Source organism: Homo sapiens, chromosome 8 (genome assembly GCF_000001405.40).
Source record: "Homo sapiens chromosome 8, GRCh38.p14 Primary Assembly".
Taxonomy (NCBI): Eukaryota; Metazoa; Chordata; class Mammalia; order Primates; family Hominidae; genus Homo; species Homo sapiens.
The window spans coordinates 4,339,730-4,360,946 of NC_000008.11; the positions used below are offsets into that span (position 1 = coordinate 4,339,730).

A 21,217-nucleotide genomic window follows, 5' to 3' on the forward strand; every position below is an offset into this window, starting at 1 on the left:
CGAAGTAGAAAAAGCTGAGTGCAGGGGCTTACACCAAAAATCCTAATGCTTTGGGAGAATGAGGTGGGAGAACCACTTGAGGCCAGGAGTTTAAGATCAGCCTGGGCAACAAAGTAAGACCTCATCTCTACAAAAACTTAAAAAAATTATTCTGGCATGGTGGCACGCACCAGTAGTCCTGGCTCCTAAGGGGCCTGAGGCAAGAGGATCACTTGAGTTCATAAGTTGGAGGTTCAGTGAGCGGTGATAGCAACACTGCAGTCCAGCCTGGACAACAGAACCAGGCACTTCTAGCGAAAATTATGTTGAGCAGCATACCGTATGTTTTAGGACTGACTCTGGTAACGTAAGTATTAGAGAAATTAGAGTTAACCTTAGAAGTTTTGTTAATCTCTCCTCTTTCAGGGCTCTCATTTAACATGTTCTATTTTCTTGATACCTTTTTTTTCTGATCCAAAAAACTAATGACACCTTCGCCAAGAAGAGCTTGCTATGCCTTCTCCCCTTTTCCTCTCACTGAAGCCTGGAAGATTTGTCCTTTTTCCTTGAGACTAGTCATCTGTGTTTGCAAGGCATCTCCATCCAAACCCTTACATTGGCTGGGATGAGGTTTGAGGGGCTGCTACACCCTAGTTAAAAATGTAGAAAATAACACTCTTGACATGAGTTTGCTTTACCATTGGCCAAATAAACTCCTCAATTAAGCTGCGCATTCCTTGAAGGAATTATGGGTCTGTCTAGGGGTGATGAACTCCTCATGGTCGAGTCCCCAATGTCATGGTTAGACTTTATTATATGTCAGATGAATCAAAGCAGGATTGTCCAAGGGCAATTCAGGGACAAAACCCACCCTGCTGATTTCTTCACAGTACTCTTGCTTGGCTGCGCCTCCTCTGCCAATGAGCCAAGTGGAGCTTGGTCGTGAATTATATTAACCTAGAGAGTAGGCTGGAGTTTATTAGAAGTACATTTTAAACAAAATATCAGCACGTGGAACAAACTGAAAATTTATTTTCAGCAAACTCTGCAAAACTGTCAAGCAAACTCATAATGGTTGCTTCTAGAGAGTTAACTATGCTGCTTACCCACTTCTAGAATCTCAATTATTTGGTTGCTAATTACACTGTACTATTTTTGATATTAACTATTAATGAATATTACCTACAATTTAAAGTGGGAACTCAAGCGGAGAGATTTCTAGGCCTGAGAGAATGTAGTCTGTACTCTGCGGGTTTATTTCAAGCTGATGGATTTAAAAATTATCACAGTCATCCTATTTTTTCAGAAAATTACATATTCAACTTTAGAATCTATACTCTAAATCAACGTAAAAGGTAAAACTTGGGAAAGAATAGTGAGAGAATAGAGATATCTCATTTCCAATACATCGTTGCCTAGGTAACAAGGCCTATCCAAGCATTTTGAATTAGTAGGCGTTGATCATCTATATTTGGGGATTCAAATCTGCAATGAAGGCAAGTTTCCATGGTACTAGCAATTACATAACTGTTTTCCAGTATTTTTCAGAAGGCAGTTGTATGTCATATGGGCATATTTCAGGCTCAAATATATTAAGCAATCAATCATATCACTAGGTAAAAGTTTTTCACATTGAATTCTGAGATTCATATTCACTATCGCAGGAAATAATTTAGTACTGAAGAAAGCCTTGAACTCAAAATGTAGAGGAAAATGTTTGAAGATAAGTTTACCTCATTGTGGTTAAGAAGCAGTATTCTCTGTGATCAAAGGACAGACTACTCTGCATATCATGAATGTGGCCCTTTCTAGGAAGCAAACCCATGGAAACATTATTTTTCCTACAGTGTGATTTTGAGAAGAAATACTAACGTTCTGTGGTTCCCTGTTTGTCCAGTGAAACTGTAACTTACGGAAAAATGTTTAGGATATGCTCTTGTGTTCTAAAAGCATCTTTCAGCAAAGCGACGCAGTCAAGATAAATGGAAACCTAAGATTAGTCAATATGTTTTTTCAACAAATTAGAATTAGGCAGTTAGGGTGCATTAATAATGGTCAATAATATTGTGCAGATTTCAGTGCCCATTAATTTGTTCACATGACTTAACGAGCACATCTGCATAATAACAGAAGGATGCTTCACCCAGCAGCCACAGCTGATGTTAACCTTCCACACCACTAACTTTCTGATTACTCATTATCTGTACTTAGAATTAGTACTATGCTTTGTCCAATGGACTGACACATATTACCCTGGTTCAAGAGACGAAAGTGGCCTTATTTCCACCATGCAGTCATTTTAAGACTTGGTCTCAAGATACAAATTCTTGATATGAATTTGGAGCATCCTGAAGATCCTGCAGTTCAAGTAGCGCAAGCCATCTCTATGTTTCCATGGTAACTCCACAATCTCTAACAAGACAAGAAGCCAATCTAAGACTGTCTACCAAGCCACATTCTTACTTCCCTTATGCAAACTTGGCAGCAGTGCTGTGTCTGTGTGTGTGTGTGTGTGTGTGTGTGTCTGTGTGTGTGTGTGTGTCTCTGTATGTGTGTGTGTAGAGGGATATTTAAACCACAAGCCAAGATTCAAAGGTGTGCAATGTATGTAAAACATAGGTATTACACACACAGAAAAATATGTGTATACATTCTACAGCTATCACATATGTTTATTATAGTATAAATGTGTGAATAGGTTAATCACTTTCTGAACTGTTGAAAACTATTCTGGCTATCCCAACAGCAGACAATAAACTGGCAGAAAAAGCACAGGACTAAATCAGCCAGGGTAGGTTTCATTCCGAACTCTGACATTTTCCTGATGTATGACATTTGCCCAGTAAGTGATCCTCTCAGATGGACACTTCCCCATAAGGTTACTGGGAAAAAAAAGATGGTAATATGATTCACATGCAGACATTCTTTATTTATTTTCATCACATGTGATGCTAAACATGAACTGGCTGCCCAGCGATAGAGCCAATGATTCCCAGGAGGTTAGCAAAGGGAGAACATTCCGCAGTAGACAGGCTTGCAGAAGACGTGTTAAAAAGAAAAATAATACAAGCTCAAGGGACTTGGAAAGGTGGTTCGTTCCTGCCACAACATCGCAAAGAAAAAGCAGGAAGTGAGTCACCCTAGATACACCAAAGGCCACCCATGTGACATATCAGGAGAAGCAAAGGACTTATGTTTTAGAGAATTCCAAGATATGCTGCACACTGATCTGTAAGTTTCAGACTCTGACAGGTAGATGTCAGGTAGAGAATTCCAAGCTGTAGCGTAGATTGCAGTGCACCTGACTTGTGCCTCCTCCAACCCTCATATTCAACATTTCAACATTTTAAGTTGCCTTCAACATCACATGGTATCTCAGTGACCAAGGGATATGGGGTATTTTATAACTCTCCAAAACATAAAAACAGATGCCACATGAAATGGGCAATGTATTTGGTAAAATACAAGGAGTGCTTCAGCTTGCTTTGTTAGAGCATAAAAAGCACATATGATAATCAAATACAAAGACACAGACAGGAGGATGGAGGTTGCCAGTGGTTGTGGGGAAGTGAATATAGAGAGATATTGGCCAAAGGGTACAAAATTTTAGTAAGAGAATGAATACATTCCGGAGATCTAATATAGAACAGTGTGACTGAATTTAATATTCTCTTGCTAAGAGAGCTGACCTTAAGTGTTGTAACCATAAAAAAATTATTAAAAATGGTCACTATGTGTGGTGATGAATATGTTACTTAGCTTGATCATGGTGATGTACATGCGTACATGATTCACAATGCATATCAAATATCAAATTGTACAAGTTATATACAATGTTACTTGTCAATTATATATCAATAGAGCTGGAATAAAGTATATTTTTATCTAATAGAAACTAACCCAAAAAGCAGACTATGTGCACTAGAGCATGTGGTCATCTCCTAGGAGACAAAGTCTGTGTCTGGTGATCTGACCTTTGCAGCTTTTTCTTTTCACCAGGGGAGCTTCGACTAGGTCCATAAGGAAATATCATCTTGATGTGTGCACTGGGGCTCATCTTTCTCATCCTACACGTTCCGTATTAGAAATATGTGGAACAGTTCTGATGAGACACTACCACTTCAATTTGTTTTTCTCGTACATCTCCTGTAGCATATGGCCCTGGTCAACTCAATAACTAATTTTTAAGGCTTATTTACTTTTAAATACTGCCAAGAGAAGTGTTTTAAAAATTATAATAAGTATTTTCATATATACAATAAATTCTAGTAAAGCCATTGCCAATAATACCACAAGCACTGTGGTTGTGAAATTGTGAATGTATACAAATAGGTGTGTGTATGTGCGTGTGCGCACACACATACTCTGGCTTAACACGGTATACCAGCACCTCGAGTAAAAGGCCTATTCAAAAACACACTGATCATTAGCAACTGAGAAATGCCTTGTTAATCTGCTTTTTCATATATTTTCAGATTTCTCTGTAACCGTCTCCATGGAGACTTTCCTCTGTTTTCCCAAAGGTGCCTCTGACACAATCATCTTTACACGTGTTCATTCAATTGTTCATTCTGTCATGTGTCTAGTTTAACAAAACATTTCAGACGTGGCCTTCAAATCAGCTTTACATCTTTCAGGTTTGGTACATTATTTTTCATACTCCCATACGCTCAAGCTCAGAGAGTACCTACTATCTTCTGTTGAGCAAAGGCAGGAATATTTTAAAACTGAACTGCTCAAAGATGCATTCTTTTACAAATGTCTACCTCTATCTCTCAATCTATTTTTTCATTTTCATAAAAATGATTGTCAGAAATATATATAAATAAATAGGTATATAAGAATATAAATATATACATATATAAGTATATATATGACAATGACTCGCTGGGTTATGAGTTACACTACCGCTATGCTCAAAGGAAGGTTTGTTTAAAAGCACTCAAGAATTGAATCAATAAACACAAAGATATTAAAAATGTTTCCTAAAAATAAAAAGGCATATCCATCATTGAGCAAAAGAATATAAAAGTTGCCATTCACATTTCACCGTTGTAGATAAAAACATGTTTACCAGCAAGAAATATACATTAGCATATGATATATAGCAGCTGATCTTTAAAAAGGATCTTTGAGAACCTTTAAAAATATTTACCTAGCGATAAGGACAACTCAAATACGTCATGGACAAGAACAGGCACTATGCAACAGGTTGTGGTCAGCTGGTCTCTGTTCCAATGTGCAAAGATTAAGGAATTTTCGGACTGAAGAAAACAAATGGCTAGCCAATGTTTCATTCTTTCTAAGGCAGCATCACACCATAACATCAAGCTCAGAATTCTGTGATTAAGTCAGTCTGTGGTTGGGGCTTAGAAAGAGGAGAAATGATGGGGCAGCCAAGGGGAGCTAAACCTGTCAGTAATTTCGGATTCAAGAAGCAGAAAACAGTGGAAACAGATTTCCACTTACATGCAAGACATCGCATTGATGACCAACGCTAACATATATTAGCAGCTATTGCGGTTTGGAGGTGAAATGGACATGAAAATTAGATAGGAACTTATGCTTTCTATGAGGATTAACGATGTTTGAACACCCTAGAAGGTAACATATAAATCTTTTCCTTGCTTGGTTTCCAATTTTGTTATTTTTGACATGTAATTATACACACTTATGCAATAGAGTATTTTCATACATGGATACAATGTATAGTGATCAAATCAGGATAAAGAAGAGAAAAAATAGATAACTGGAATTACATCAAACTACAAAGCTTTTATATAGCAAAGGAAACAGTGACAAAGTGAAGAGACAACATGCAGAATGGGGGAAATATATGCAAATCACTCATCGGACAAAGCACTAATATCTAAAATATATGAGGAAATCACAGAAAACAAAAACAAAAAGTACCAAAATAATTACTGAAACACGGTTCAAATGACTGGAAGAGACCTTTCTCAAGATATGAAATGGCCATGTAATTTTTTTAAAAAGGCTCAACGTCATGAATTATCAAGAAAATGCAAATCAGAACTATAATGTGCTATCATCTCAACCCCGTTAAAATGCTAATTCTTCCACAAAACCAGTCTGTGCCTTCACAGGGAGGTCATCCCGAGCAGCGACCTACATTGGAGTGTTCTGAGGTTACATGCACTGACAGGCAGACAGGTGATGAGTCTGTGTATTCAGTCAAGACGTAACAAGGGAGGGGCTTTTCTTCCTCAGTGTTTTCAAACTACGCTCTTCATACTGACTAGATATCATTTGGAATTTCAGTAGTTCACATTAGTATAAAATAACGGAATATTACATTCTTATTATCATATCCAGATTGTTCATGGTCCATGTGCTGGCATGTGTGAATACGAAAGTACTACAACTAGAAATCTTCAGCATTAGAAAGGACCTGGAGGTTTTTCTACTCCAAACTCTCCATGCTGGTCAACTATGGTTAACAATCAAATATGGCCTGCTAATTTATCTGGACAGCTCATTTGCTAAGAATGATTTTTATATTTTGAAATGACTAAATATACATCCAAAGAATAATAATATTTCATAGCACATGAAAGATACACATAATTTAAATTTCAGTGACCATAAATCCAGTTTTACTGGAAAGCAGCCATGCCCATCTATTTCCATACGATCTGCGGCTGCTTACCTGACCCCACAGCCGAGTTGAACAGTTACATCAGGGAGTATGACCCACACAGTATCTGGCCCTTTAAAGCAAGGCTTGCCGATCCTTGATATAATCCATCCCTGCTCTGATAGCCTCATGACATTATTGTCTAAACTGAATTAAAATCCAGTTACAGAAAACTTTCAGTCTTTGGGCTTGAGCGTGCTTTTCGTTATTGTTCTTGACTGATTTCATTTCAATCTTCAGCAGGAATCAAATTTAAAAGAAAAAAATGGTAAGTGAAATCTTCATTGCAATTTTGAATTTTTTTTCTAATTTGCCTCGTATGAGTGCTAGTCAGAAATGTCGTATTATTTATAATTATATTTTAGATATAAAAATAAATTAACAGAATTCTTATCAAAATTCAAAGGAGACAAGTCAGTGGTAAGCTCTGGATACAATGTCCCGCTGTAGAAATCCAAGGGGATTGAGACTGAGGGCCTGAGGCCATCTCCACCTCTCTCAACATGTCATTCTGGCTGGATTGTAAAACCTGGCTGGACCTCAATCTTTTCCTCAAATACTAATTTGAAAGTGAGTTTAGTTAGGTAACATTCAACTCTCTTGTAATGGAGGGTGCTTGTGGCTGAGGACAAGGGCTCCAGGATACTTAAAGTTTTCATTTTATTATTTCCTCTAATTATCTAGACCAGAGACACCTTTGACCATTTTTCTCCTATTCTTTGACCCCTCAGAAGTTACTTTTTCTCCAAGGCAGGAAAGATGAATGATTTTAGCACTTGGTGTGACAACTGGGATCGGTGTTCAAGTTTTAGCTTTACTCCTAACTTATTAATCTTGAGTTAGAAATACTTGGAAATTACATCATGCTTAAAATGAAACAGACATCCACGATTTGGGGTAATCTCACCTTGGCCCTCTCTAAACAGCAGCAGCAGCAACTATAAAATTATTCAGTCTATAGCATAGGACAAAACTACATAATATAATCGATACTCTCTGCTCTTTGATTTCTTGGGACATCTAAGACATTATCATTTAAAATAGGTAACATTACTTAAATATTTTAGCCAAACACACACAAGAGCTTATACCACATCTATGAAGAAGAAGGAAATTGCAAGACTAAAGGAGACTAAATTATAATTTACCAATGACATTACAGGATAAGGCTGTCTCAACAGAAATACTTCCCTGTTGCCTATTATTAAAGTTCGCCAAAGAGAATGTAGATATTGGCCATCTGCTCTGAGTCTTCTAGTGCAAAAGCAATGAAAGGAGGAGTGTAATTTCACATCAGTATGCAATTGCAATGACTCCTATTACTACAAACATCCCTTCTATCTCCTGTAGCACGTAACTCAATTCTGAGTGCCTAGCAAGCATGTATTGCCAAGTTGTATTGGATAAAGTTTTAGTAACTCTAAATAAAATCTATAATCACTTAAACAGATATTATATCTTCTCTCGTTCAAAGAAACAAAAAAAAACAGATCAGAGGTAATTTCCAAAGTTAATCCATGATAAGAAAAAAATAAAAAGTTAAATAAACAAGGATAAAATAGGAGCACAAAAATAAAATGGAGGCACAGAAGAATTTATACACGGGAAGCACTACACTGGCAAACATGCGTCACTTATTTTACTATATGCATAAAGAGGAAAAAAACAGATTAGTTACAACATACTCCAAAATACACCAGGCAAAAACAAACCAGTGGCCCAGGAAAAGTGAATGCTTGGCTAACTACCAGTTAGAAGTATTAAAGAGAGAAGACCTTTTCGGTTTTTAAAACATATTTACTGCATATGATCTCTGGATATGGCATTGTGCTGGGAAAATGTATATAAGAAATTCACAATGCATACTAAGTGCTCTTGACTATCTCTTCATGTCTAAGGGGAAGGTAGATATAACCAGGAGCAAAGGCATGTTCTGTGGATGCCTTTGTAAGAGTGTGAGGCCACAGCAGCGAAGTCATGGAATCCACCCAAGTGTACTACGCTACAAGTGTTTAAAGAACGTTGCAGGTCACAGAACTGTAAGTGATTCTGTATTTTTAAAAATCAGAATATTAGGCCTTTCTGATCATTTGCTGAAGTATCTTCATATTTCTTTCCACAAAAAGGTAGCTTAATAAGTTGTATCTGCAAAGATTTTGAGAGTTGTATCACAAATAAAAGTGTGTGTGTGCACATGTGTGCATCTGTGTGTGTGTATGCATGTGTGTGTGCGTGGGTGTGTTGGGGGTGGGGGAGGGAGGGGAGAGGGGGAGAGGGAGGGGGAGAGAGAGAGAGAGAGAGAGACTCTTTTGCGTACATATCCGCTTAAGTGAATTTTATACCAGGAGAATTTGATCTTCGTCTTTAGGAAGACCGTGAGTTAAAATTGTAGAAAATAAACTACGAATGTGACTTTCTTTCAATCCCTTAACCCATTTATTCTTCCAAGACCCAGTTAAATCAATAAGCTTTTAAGGTACGAACATGCTCTTAGTTCATCTACATGTCTGTTGCTCTGATTGAGTCATAAGCCTTTCTCCCTGTGATATCACAGCTATTGTTCCTTAACCAGACAGTGCCCTCAGAATACTCTTGAATTGCACCATATGCAAAAACAGGACAAACTGAAAAATTGAAAATCCAACTGTCCACACAAGCCGAAATCTTACATTCTTGCTAATTTAGTTAGAAATTATTAACATGACTCATGAAATGCTCAAATTACAAAATGAGCTGAAGTTTGAAGATAAGTAAAATTCAGTCTGAATCCGAATACAGAGCTTGCATATGTGCTTTTGGTGTAATTTCATCAGAGAACTAAGTGAAGATTTTAATCAGAATGACTATAAGAAGGGCTTGTTTGCTAATTGTCTTGTGGTATTTGGTACAGACCAGTGGTTTTCAAAAACAATTTTTGCAGCAGTGGAAAGCTATTTTTCTACACTCTAAGACCTCCACAGAATTGAGTATAAGATGTAGGTGTTATCGTATTTTACATTTTTCTTAAAGCATCCTTTTGTGGTAGGCAGAGGAAATATTATCACCTCTACTTTAATGATAGAGAAAAGTCAGATTTACAACTAGTGATATGTCTCAGGTTATATAGGTAGAAAATGGAGAGCTCTATCTAGAATCTACCTTCTTTTTCCCTTTCAACAGCCTTTCTACTCTATACCATGCTTTTTTATATTAGGTGACATAGAAGGCTTCAACATTTAGCAACCAAATTGTCTTAGAAAGCTGTTACGTCTCCCTGAAATTTCACAATTGCATACCTTCATAATATTTGGCTAAATGGTAAATTTTGAAATGTGGCCAATTTCTATCATACCTATAAATACAATCATCAGTTACAAGATCATTTATTTGACATTTTTCAAATGCCCAAATGAATCTTTCCTCCATTAAGATATTTATTTGTCTCAATTGCTTAAAATTAAAATATGATATGACCTTTTTTTTTTTTTTTTAAGTTTAGGTTACTTTTTAACTATGTAATGTTACCTTTAAGAAAAGACAGGGAGCCAAAATATATTAGCAAAAAGGTTGTGCTATGACCTTTATACTGCCAAACTTTAACAAAACAAATGTATGCTGTAGACTTAAGGGATCCAAAGTAATAGCTTTGGTCCCTGAGCCCTGGAATCTTGTCTTTTCCTTGACTAAAGAGGCTTAGTTTTAGCTTATTTCAAATAAGAATCTCTCAGCCCTGAAACATGACTTATGAGCCACCACTGGCTGCTACGTCAGATTCATCCCAAACTTCAGTCCAAATCATCAAATCTTGATGGTCCTTATTGTTACAAGCCTTCTCTTCTTTTTGCTGTACAATTGCAAGGCTCTGTCAAGCGTCCAGGCACCTGCCTGAAGCCTAAGTCTCAACAACTGGAAGCCTCACTCTAGGGGACGCCAACTGCAGGTGACTGTGCTGTCTACTTGAGGTCTAACAGGCTGACACACCTGAGGGGCACACAAACTGTGAACCAAGAAATGGAGAAAAATCAAAATAGTGTTATAAATGAAATGCACAGCTATGATATGCTCTGATTTACTATATCTCATCAACCAACCTTGATTCACCAAACCACATGATACTCTTTGCCTGCTACAAACCACACATAAAGGTAAGATCACCGCAGCAGTGAGCTCTCAGCCTGAAGGAGGTAGGAATGGAGGCTAATGTCCTGATTCCACATTTATTCAATTAACACTTCCACGCTTACAATGAGAAAAAGCAGAACAAAACTGACCTGGGCAATGGGCTAGAGAATTGCGAGTTGACTCATGAAATTTACTAGAACAAAGGTGTATTTTTCATCACTGATGTCAAGGTTGTCCACTTCTCCTGCTGACCAAAAGTCACATTTGCTCTTCTCTAAATCCAGTGGCAGCTGATTGAATTTAAGTAGGTTATTTTTAAATTCCCAGCATCTAGTTACTTTAGCAAGATGACTTTGCTTTCCTTAGCTGTGGAGACACTATCTGCCAGTGGCTCTAGTTCCGGTGGATGGAGGGGAAAGGATGTGCATTCTAAGGTGGGCCGTGCTTACAGGACCGCCTTCCTTGACACATACTTGCTTTCTGCAAGTCATCGTTTAAAGCTTCTTTTAATAATTTTGCCTCTCTGCTTAATCGAAATTAAAGTTCTGTCTTGGCTACCTCTATCAAAGAACAAATCTGCCTGGCTCAGACCAGTAATTCCAGAACTTCAGGAGTCTGAAGCCAGAGGATCGCCTGAGCCCAGGGGTTCGAGACCAGTCCGGGCAACATAGCAAGGTCCCATCTCTAAAAAAAAAAAAAATTAGGGAAAGAACAAATGACTTCTAGGAGTTAATAAAATGTACCAAGTTTCACCTGATACCTAAAGCTCCATCTACATCCTGTCTTTCTAAGAAGTAAACATTAGAACGTATCTTTCCTAACAAGAGATTTTTCAATGCTAAATGTTTCTCCAGCTATATAAAAACATTCAATGAAAATTTGAGGCATCTCCTTATTCGTCTTGTTCTCCTCTCTTCTCGTCTCATAGCCCATGCTGGCTGTTATACCAAGTAAGGTAAGAAGAGTTACTTAAAATAATGTCTAAAAAGCAGAGTTCCATAGCTATTACTGTGCCAAATTTATAGATTAGGAAGAAAATTGACAGAACTTAAATTGTGAGATTCATGGAGGTAGAAAGTGGCCGGTCAGTTTGGCTTTAAAATGCATGTTTTATGCAAAAATCCTGAAAGAGACTTCAACTTGTTGTGGGAGTGAGAAAGGAGATGAGGGAGGTTTATAGGAAAGGCTTCCCAGGCAAGATGTCTTCCAAGAGGAGACTTGAATCCTTAGGAGGAATTAGCCAGACATGGAAAAGAAAAAGGCCTTCTAGGTTGAGCAAGACCCACTTGAGAAGATGTGAAATTGCCACTTATTTTGTGCACTTGGAATCCAGCATCTCAAAAGGAGCAGAGCAACACACCAGGCCAAGGAGATGTCCAGGACCCTGGTCATTATATACGACAGGACTTGTATGTGGATTACGCACTACAGAAACCAAACTGTAGAAACACTGACATTCAAGGTAACATTGCCTTTATGCTATTTTTTTTTTTTTTTCAGAAAAAAAAATGAGTGGCTTGAAACACGGGTATGGAATTGACTAATGCAATGCTGATCGTTTAAGTTCATTGTGTCCCAGTGTGGTCTACAATTATTCAGTGTTAGCCACTCTCCTTCTACTGCTGGAATACTTTGTAAATTAGAGAATGAGGTGGACTGGCCTGTGGCCCCAACTCAGAATATCATTTTTATATTAAGTCCACTTAGGTTCTCATTGCCTGGGATGAATAAGCAAGCCCCACTTAGAGCTAATGCAATTGTAAGCACCAACATAAGGTTCTAAATGGAAATGAACTCACCTGCTCATGAGGGTTCTTCCAGGTGATTTAGAAAATAGAACTATCTATGCCATCATAAAAATTAAAATTCAACATTTAGAATGTTCTCAGATAATTCACAAACAGCAATAAATATGTCTGTAGATCCACAGAAAATGAGAACACCAGTATAAATATTTCCTTTTCAACTCAAAAAAATCTTTAAAGAATAGAAAGTGGAAATATTCTCCAGAACATATTTTCAGTGAATCAAGTTTGAAGAAACATGAAATTTTCCAGTTGCAAAAGAATGCAGACATCATCTATGTCATCCTTTCATTTTCCATGTAACTTCATTTTGCAAGTAGCTAAGTTTGAGAAAAGTCATTTGCCCCGAGTGACACCGAGGAGCTTAACAGCATACTATTTCCCCTATGAAGGTCATTTATAAAAACGTATGCATTTTAAGTTTTACTTTCAAGAACACAAATAAGAACCCTCTGTTCTGAGATTTAAGAGTCATTTGATGGAAACCATGGCAGACAAATCTACTGTTGGAATGTGGACATGGCTGTTGCCGTCCATTTCAAGATGGTTCAAACGAACTCAAACAAGATTGGACCTGTTTCTCTTTGTTTTGTATTGATCGTCAGCCATAATTACCTCAGAAAATGACACTAGAAAGATTTAGGCAAAATATTTATAAGTAAATACGAGCTTGTAGGGCTAATTATGGTAAATTCTACCAAGCCTTTGAATGCAACATTAAAATGACTAATTATTTCCTCTGGATACTATTTCCTGAGTCTTAATATATTAGATTGTAGAAAGAGTAAAATCAGATATTGTCAACTTCACTTATTTTTTACCTGAAGTAATATAACATTCGGTTTATGTTCTCTGATATGGTTTGGCTGTGTCCCCACACAACTGTCACCTTGAATTGTAATAATCCCCACGTGTCAAGTGTGGAGCCAGGTGGAGACAAGTGAATCATGACGACGGTTTCCCCCAGACTGTTCTTCTGGTAGTAAGTCTCAGGAGATCTGATGGTTTTATAAAGGGGAGTTTCCTTCACAAGCTCTCTTCCCTGCCACCATGTAAGATGTGACTTTGCTCCTCCTTTGCCTTCCACCATGATTGTGAGGCCTCCCCAGCCGTGTGGAACTGTGAGTCCACTAAACCTCTTTCCTTTATAAATTACCTATTCTCGAGTATGTCTTTATTAGCAGTGTGAGAAAAGAATAATACATTCTTTAATTAAAATTGGTCAAATGAATCCACTGCATATGATCTCAATATAAAAATCAGACCTTTCCTAGGAAATATACTAGATCACGAATAAAGCCCAAAGTAGCATATCCTGAAGCACATGCATAAGGCAACTAAAGAGCAGAGTCACGCCCAACGGGACAGGCTAAACCTTCTCAATCTGCCTTTACTCATTTCTCTCAGAATTCACAATCAGGCATAAGAAAAATCTTCTTTGTGAACCACAGTTTTTGTTGGGGTTCATGGAGATTTCTTTTTTTGCCCTTCACACATTTGATTTACTTATTTGCTGGCTTATAAATGGCTCGATCATTAAAACCAGTGTTCTTCTCTCCTCAGTGACCCGCACTTAATTATGGCTCATCTGGTTTACAGCAATAGTGCCAGGGAAAAGAGCATGTTCAGCAAGCTGTTTTTACACAATGTTCATTTGAGGTATATTAGGGAACTTCATCAGCCCTCTATGATGATATATTGTTTCACTTTTTCCTAACACCTGCGTGGTTGTTCAGCACATTCTTCAGGCTTTTTCCTCTCCATACCAGTGTCTATGCAGCTATATATCATTTCAGAAATCTGCATGGCAATATTGCTTCCATATTCTCGTTAACTTGCCCAAGAACGCGCCTGAAAGTAAATTTTAAAAATTTAAATGTAAAAATTATAGCATATTCCCAAACAACATGTCCACAAGCACATCTTCAGAGATTACCACCCTGAGCCTTCCGATATTTCCACCTTACCAACAACATTGTAGATCACGGTGTTATTTTATGACAAAGTAACCAAGTTACTCAGTATTATTAAGGCGATGAAACATTTCAACTGTATAATCTCTTTTGAGGTTGGGAAACCATTCTAATATTCACAAACCTGGTCATTTCGTAACTATTAAAATACACCGTTCCCCAACAGAACTGAAATAGCATGCTAGGAGAGAACACCAAACATCTGCGTTAGCTAAAATTATAATACATGGGGTGGAATGTCAGAGAGAAAATCAGAGTCATGAATGTTTAATCACTTGATGTTGTGGAAAAGCTGGTGGCTGCATTAGCACTAAACATAGATGGCAGACTTCACCGTGACTCAACCTTACCACCTTCTCCTTGAACGTATAAGAACGTGTCTACTCAAAAAATAAACACATGAACATCTATGCAGAATTTAAAATTTTTGTAACATTTGTATATTGTCACCGTGTATATTTTTGAAACACTTGTATTTATAATGTAAGTGATGCAGGTGTTTGAATTCCTTTTATAGATTTCCCCCCTCCCAGAAAAATGAAAGCAAAAAGTTTATCAAACTTAGTATTATACCTGGTTTCTGAGCTCTCACTAGAGGGCAGGTAAATGAGGAAAATGTAGTGTGTGTGTGTGTGTGTGTGTGTGTGTGTGTGTGTGTGTGTGTTAAATATTTGAGTATTTTCAGGTTGAAAGAAACCACCGAATTCCACCCAAACCCATGTTTAGATCTTTTGTGGCCAGGCACGGTGGCTCACGCCTGTAATCCCAGCACTTTGGGAGGCCGAGGCGGGCGGATGACGAGGTCAGGAGATCGAGACCATCCTGGCTAACATGGTGAAACCCCGTCTCTACTAAAAAGACAAAAAATTAGCCGGGCGTGGTGGCGGGCGCCTGCAGTCCCAGCTACTCAGGAGGCTGAGGCAGGAGAATGGCGTGAACCTGGGAGGCGGAGCTTGCAATGATCCGAGATCGCGCCACTGCACTCCAGCCTGGGTAAGAAACTCCATTTCAAATAAATAAATAAATATACCTTTTGTGGACACAGGAACAAACCACTTCATACACACACACACACACACGCACACACACACACGTATATATGATATATATACACACACACAAAACTCTACAAAAATGACGCGTTAAGAGTGTTCTTAACAGAAGTAGCGAATTCAGGTATCTTCTTTATGTGTTTGCATGTAGGAAAGCATAAATAGCTCAAACTCATTTTTATTAAAAGTAGAGTGAATGAAAGGGAACATTCAGTAGTTTAGTAAAGGAAGTTCTCCTTCAGTACATAAGTGAAGAAATAACAACTGCAACAAAACTTGGTGAGGGACCAGAGTGTTCAGACAGAAGAATAACTGAGTTAAATATTGCTTACAGAAATCATTCAAGAAAAGCAAGCATGCTATAAAACCTCCAAAGCCTACAGAGTTTCCTACCAATCCCACTCCAAGTTAAGGGTCCAGCAATGCATCTTTATTCATTTTCCCCCTGCATGAAGCTCTGTTTCTCCAGTGTCATTCATGGGTAACATGTGCTACTAACCTGGCTGCTGTTTGGAAGTGAAGATTTCTAGATTCCAGGCCGAAAGTAGAGGAGCTTTGGAGGATGGGAACCAGGCCTTGCCATTTAAACAGCGCAGGTGAGTCTCATGATTTGAATCAGCTGTTTTTTTGTTTTGTTTTGTTTGTAGAATTGCATTTTTTTATGGATGTTCTTTCTTATTTTTTCATGATATTGGGGTACATGTGGCATTTGGTTACTTAAGTTACTGGTGTTTGGGAGATCCTGGTGCACTCATCACCTGAGCAGTGTACACTGCACCATATATGTTGTCTTTTATCCCTCACACACCTCCTAGTCTTCCCCTCAAGTTCCCAAAGTCCATTGTATCTTTCTTATGCCTTTGCATCCTTATAGCTTAACTGCCACAAATCAGTGGGAAGATACAATGTTTGGTTTTCCATTCCTGAGTTACTTCACTTAGAACAATTGTCTCCAATCTCATCCCGGTCACTGCAAATGCTGTTCATTCATTCATTCCTTATTATGGCTAAGTAGTATTCATCATATGTAATACACACACACACACACACACCAGTTTCTTTATCCACTTGTTGATTTATGGACATTTGGGTTGGTTCTACGATTTTGCAATTGTCAATTGTGCTACTATAAACATGCATGTACAAGTATCCTTTTCGTGTAATGACTTCTTTTCCTCTGAGTAGATACCTGGGAGTGGGATTGCTGGATCAAATGTTGTTCTTTTGTTGAAGTCTTAGAGTATTTTAAATATGTTTCATTTTAAATGTCTGTTTCAGTCCATTTTTACCTCTATCCTGTAAGCATCTTGGCTGTTTTCACTGTGTCTGCTTTATTCTGGTCCTGCGAAGGTAGTTCACATACACCTGTTAGTGAGGGCTTCTTTCCATGTGTTTTGTCCTTCTCACCGTGCTCTCCAATGGAGAGGTACAGTGAGGGCACCTTCTCCGGCCGTGAATGACTGGAACCGAGTTCTTCTCTCAAAGCAGTCTTGCAGGCCCAGCCCCTGACCGACTTGACAATGGCGCACATTCCTAGTTGTTCAGCTATCTCTGCCCTTTCCTCTAAAATCTAGAGGCTGAAACTATAATGAATTTAGCCCTTTAAATCTGAATAAACATATTACTTTTTAAATGTCAATATGTGAAATATAATAGCAACTGAAAGACTTTGCAGCTATGTGAATATGTGAATATATGAAGATAAACGAATTTCAATTGCTATAAAATTCTTACATTGTATGCAGTTATTAAAATGTATCTTTACTGAAGGAAGAATAATATGAATAATACTGTGTTATGTATTACAACTCTGAATTGGTCATCAAAACCCCAATTCACTTTGGTATATGATCTCAAATAAAATATGGTACGCAAATGCTCACACATGTAGTGTGTTCTTAAGTAGCTAAGGGTTTTCAGTTGAAAGAGCCTCTTACGTGCTAGAATTAGAGGTTCAGGGACTAAAAAGTAACCTTATAGATCTCATCTGGCCATTGTGCTTTCTCACATTTCCTCCTGATATCATGCCTGTTGCGTAAGCTATTCACAACAGGATCGTAGAGCTGAGCCCACTGTATTTCATCAAATAATTTAAATATCAAATATTTACTCCAAGGCCAGAAATATTAAGAGTTTATATTTTATCACCTCCAAGATACTTCTCTCCTACCATCGCCCTCACCAACATGGCATTACTTTATCCACAGTTCCTCTGCACTACCATCTCTAAGTAAGTTGGAAATGCACAGTTGGAAAAAAAAAATCTGTCATTCTCCATGGTCTGCTTAGTATTAGTCCTTTAGGATACAAATAAATAGCATGCTTAAATAAATACAATATCTACAGGTTTCCTATAACTTTAAAGTTTTCTTCATGGTAGGACTTCAAAAACTTAACAAATAATCAGAATTAATTTGAGATCAAGAGATACTCAAGCCAAAATTTTAAAGGTATATTGTAAAAGAAAAATGAAAAGAATAAGGAGGATGGGGAGACAGAGGAGGAGAAATACCAAAATAGTATTACAAAATTTAAAAGTGTGAGTAATATCACTTAAAATTTATCATATTTTAATGCTAAAATCATAGACGTATAATTGTAGTATTTATAAAAAATAGAGAATATACTTAATTAAAAGCCCATTGCTAGTGGTGTAATGCCTGAATGAGACTCAGTTTAAGATGTATAATAAACATCTCCCTCCCCTTCCCATGGAACTTCTGTCCTGAGGAATACACAGTAGCTGCTGCTGATTTACATGTATACTTACGTATATATGTATATATGTATACATACATATGCTATGATCAGCCAATTTAATTTATTCTCAAAATTTATTCTCAAAATTTCCATGCATGCAAAATTATGATGACGTTCACTTTATTCAGGGATGAATGTCTTCTGGGGTGTTATAATTTTATGTACCAAATGAATGTCACTGTGGGGCTTGTTGAACTTTTGCTTTACCAGTGGGTGTGGAGCGCGGCCATGGGCCAGATCCAGCTGGTGCCATCTGACAGCTGCCTAGTTTTGTAAGGCCCATGAGCTTAGAATGATTTTACACTTTTTAATGGTTGAAAAGAAAAAGAAGGGGACTGTTTCGTGACACGTGAAAATATATGAAATTCAAATTTCAGTGTCCACACAGTCGGCCTGGGGGGAGCTGCCACTGGCTCCTTTCCACAAGGTGTATGTCTCCTTTTGCGATACCAGCAGAGCTCCGCAGATGCAGAGGTGACGATATGGCCTACAAAACTTAAAATATTTACTATCTGGCCATTTAAAGAAAAAGTGTGCTGAAAGTAATAGTCTAACAGGGTATAACTATATCATGCAATAATTTATGAATTCCTTTTAGTGCTAACTTGGTATTTTGCATACTTTTTCTAAGAGTAGAAACCAGGTATTTGTAGCTTAATCATTAAAATATCTCTCAAGATAAGTGTATATGATTTCAAAAAGCAATTAGGTTGCAATAAAGCTTTGTCAGCCAAGGCAAGGGTAAACAAGTTATAAATCACGTAAGAGTGCCTTGGTTTCAGTGCTCAAATAACTTTTAAACACGGTTTTACCAATAATCACCATAAACCTAAAACTACAGGACAGTGAACCTTTATTAAAAAAACTGAATAATTAGTACATTCAGTACTACACTTCCAGAGTCTTGTGCACACACACACACACACATTTAAGTTGACATATATAGGCATATAATATATACATATATGCCTATATATGTGGCAAAATCAATATACATGTGATACGAATGAAGTATTCCAGTTACACATAGTATATTAATAAATGCAGGAATACTAGGGTAGAAATTTAGAAGGCAGAGTTGTAGCCCAGTTCGGTCACTAATAAGTTACTTGGTTATCAGCAATTTCACAAAAGTCCCAGAGCATGAGTTGCATTATCTGTAGAGAGGGGTGTCCCTCCTTCTGAGATTACTTCACTCTTCAAGAATATTTAATTCAATAGATATATTCTGTGTATATATGGCTGCAGTGCATTATTGTGCAGGGGCCAAATAGGTACAACATATCTAAACACTATAATTATCTACAGAAATTATCAATAGGGTTTAAACTCACAATAACATATTAACTAGAGAAGCTTTGTTTTTCTTCCTATTTTCTCGAGCAATTTAAAGCTAAGCCATTCTTTAAAAACAAGATTGAATCCTTCCTCTTTGTCTCTTATAGACTTCCCCAACCTTGCAAATAGAGATGTCTCCTTCCAATCCTCTTGCGCAGAAGAGCCCTGTGTTCCTTGGAGATTACATGGTGTTCTAAAAGACTGAATTAACTCAAGAGTCAATGAACCTGTGTTTGAGTCATGCTCCCCTTGCAAATGTGTGTGGTTGATTCTGGGTATGAATCCTCAGCCCTCTGGGTTTTAGTGTGTTTGTCTATAGACAGGAGCACTGTGGCCTGGCCCACTTCTACATTCATTCCAAGGGTCCACGTCAAGGAGTTGGTAAAGAACGCACAATGAGTACAGGCTAGTTGCAGGAACCCACCATCTCTCCTACTGTCGGAAGCAAGACTCAGTGCAAGTCCAGAGACAACACTACTAAATTCTAAACAGCCCCTACCTTTTAACCACAGTTTAAAACATCAACGTTCAGTGAAAGAATGCTTCCCTACTGGAGATCTTCCACATGGTTAGGATGCTCAATTAGCCAAATGCCACTGCCATCCCAGTTGTGGAGTTCCAGCTCTCTTCCCTGTCCCCATCTGAGCATACAGTTCCTCTCGTCTCTGACCGCCTGGGATCTCGGACAAGTTACTTAACATATCTGTATGTCTGGTTTCCTCTCTGCAGGTTTGGCTGTGAGGATGATCTGAGAGGATGAACTACACGTGAGAGTGACTGTCACCGAGTAAACGCGTGGCATTTGTCACCATTTTAGGGGGTAACCCTTCTCATCTAATGTTGATTTCCTGATGAACACACATCTACCTCCCTGAATTTGCTTTTACTTAATAGTGGTCCCCAAATGCATCCAGCTCCATGGGAAGTGCAAATCCTCCTCTTATCTGTTGCATGATTAACACATGCCTCTTTACCCTAATTGTAAGTTACTGCAAACTCCATCTATAAAACAGTATTTGTGGAATTAATTAACTGTGTTTTAAGTCATAGAAGAGCCCGTTATCATAACCTCTTTTTTCTTGCACATACTTCCTGTTCCTCCCAGGTTCTTTGAGATGGAGTCTGGCTCTGTCGCCCAGGCTGGAGGGCAGTGGCGCGATCTCGGCTCACTGCAAGCTCCGCCTCCCAGGTTCACGTCATTCTCCTGCCTCAGCCTCCAGAGTAGCTGAGACTACAGGCTGCCCGCCACCACACCTGGCTAATTTTTTTTTTGTTTTTTAGTGGACACAGGGTTTCAACATCTTAGCCAGGATGGTCTCCGATCTCCTGACCTCGTGATCCGCCTACCTCGGCCTCCAAAAGTGCTGGGACTACAGGTGTGAGCCACTGCACCCGGCCCCTCGGGGTTCGTAATCTCACAGTTCCTGACACAATTAATCACGGAGCTTCTGGTCTCCTTTATCTATCTTTAATATTGGTAAAGCACTGACAGGTCCCCTGAAAGTAGAATTAGGCTTCTGATAGCAGGTGAATTTCTTTTTAATCATTTCA

The 21,217-nt window shown here is 38.1% G+C and overlaps 1 protein-coding gene across 3 annotated transcripts in view; it reads right to left on the reverse strand.

Moving 5' to 3' along the window:
- The window catches only part of CSMD1 (CUB and Sushi multiple domains 1), a 2,059,554-nt gene that overhangs the window by 1,404,369 nt on the left and 633,968 nt on the right, over positions 1-21,217 (reverse strand). The gene's annotated exons all lie outside the window — the stretch shown is intronic.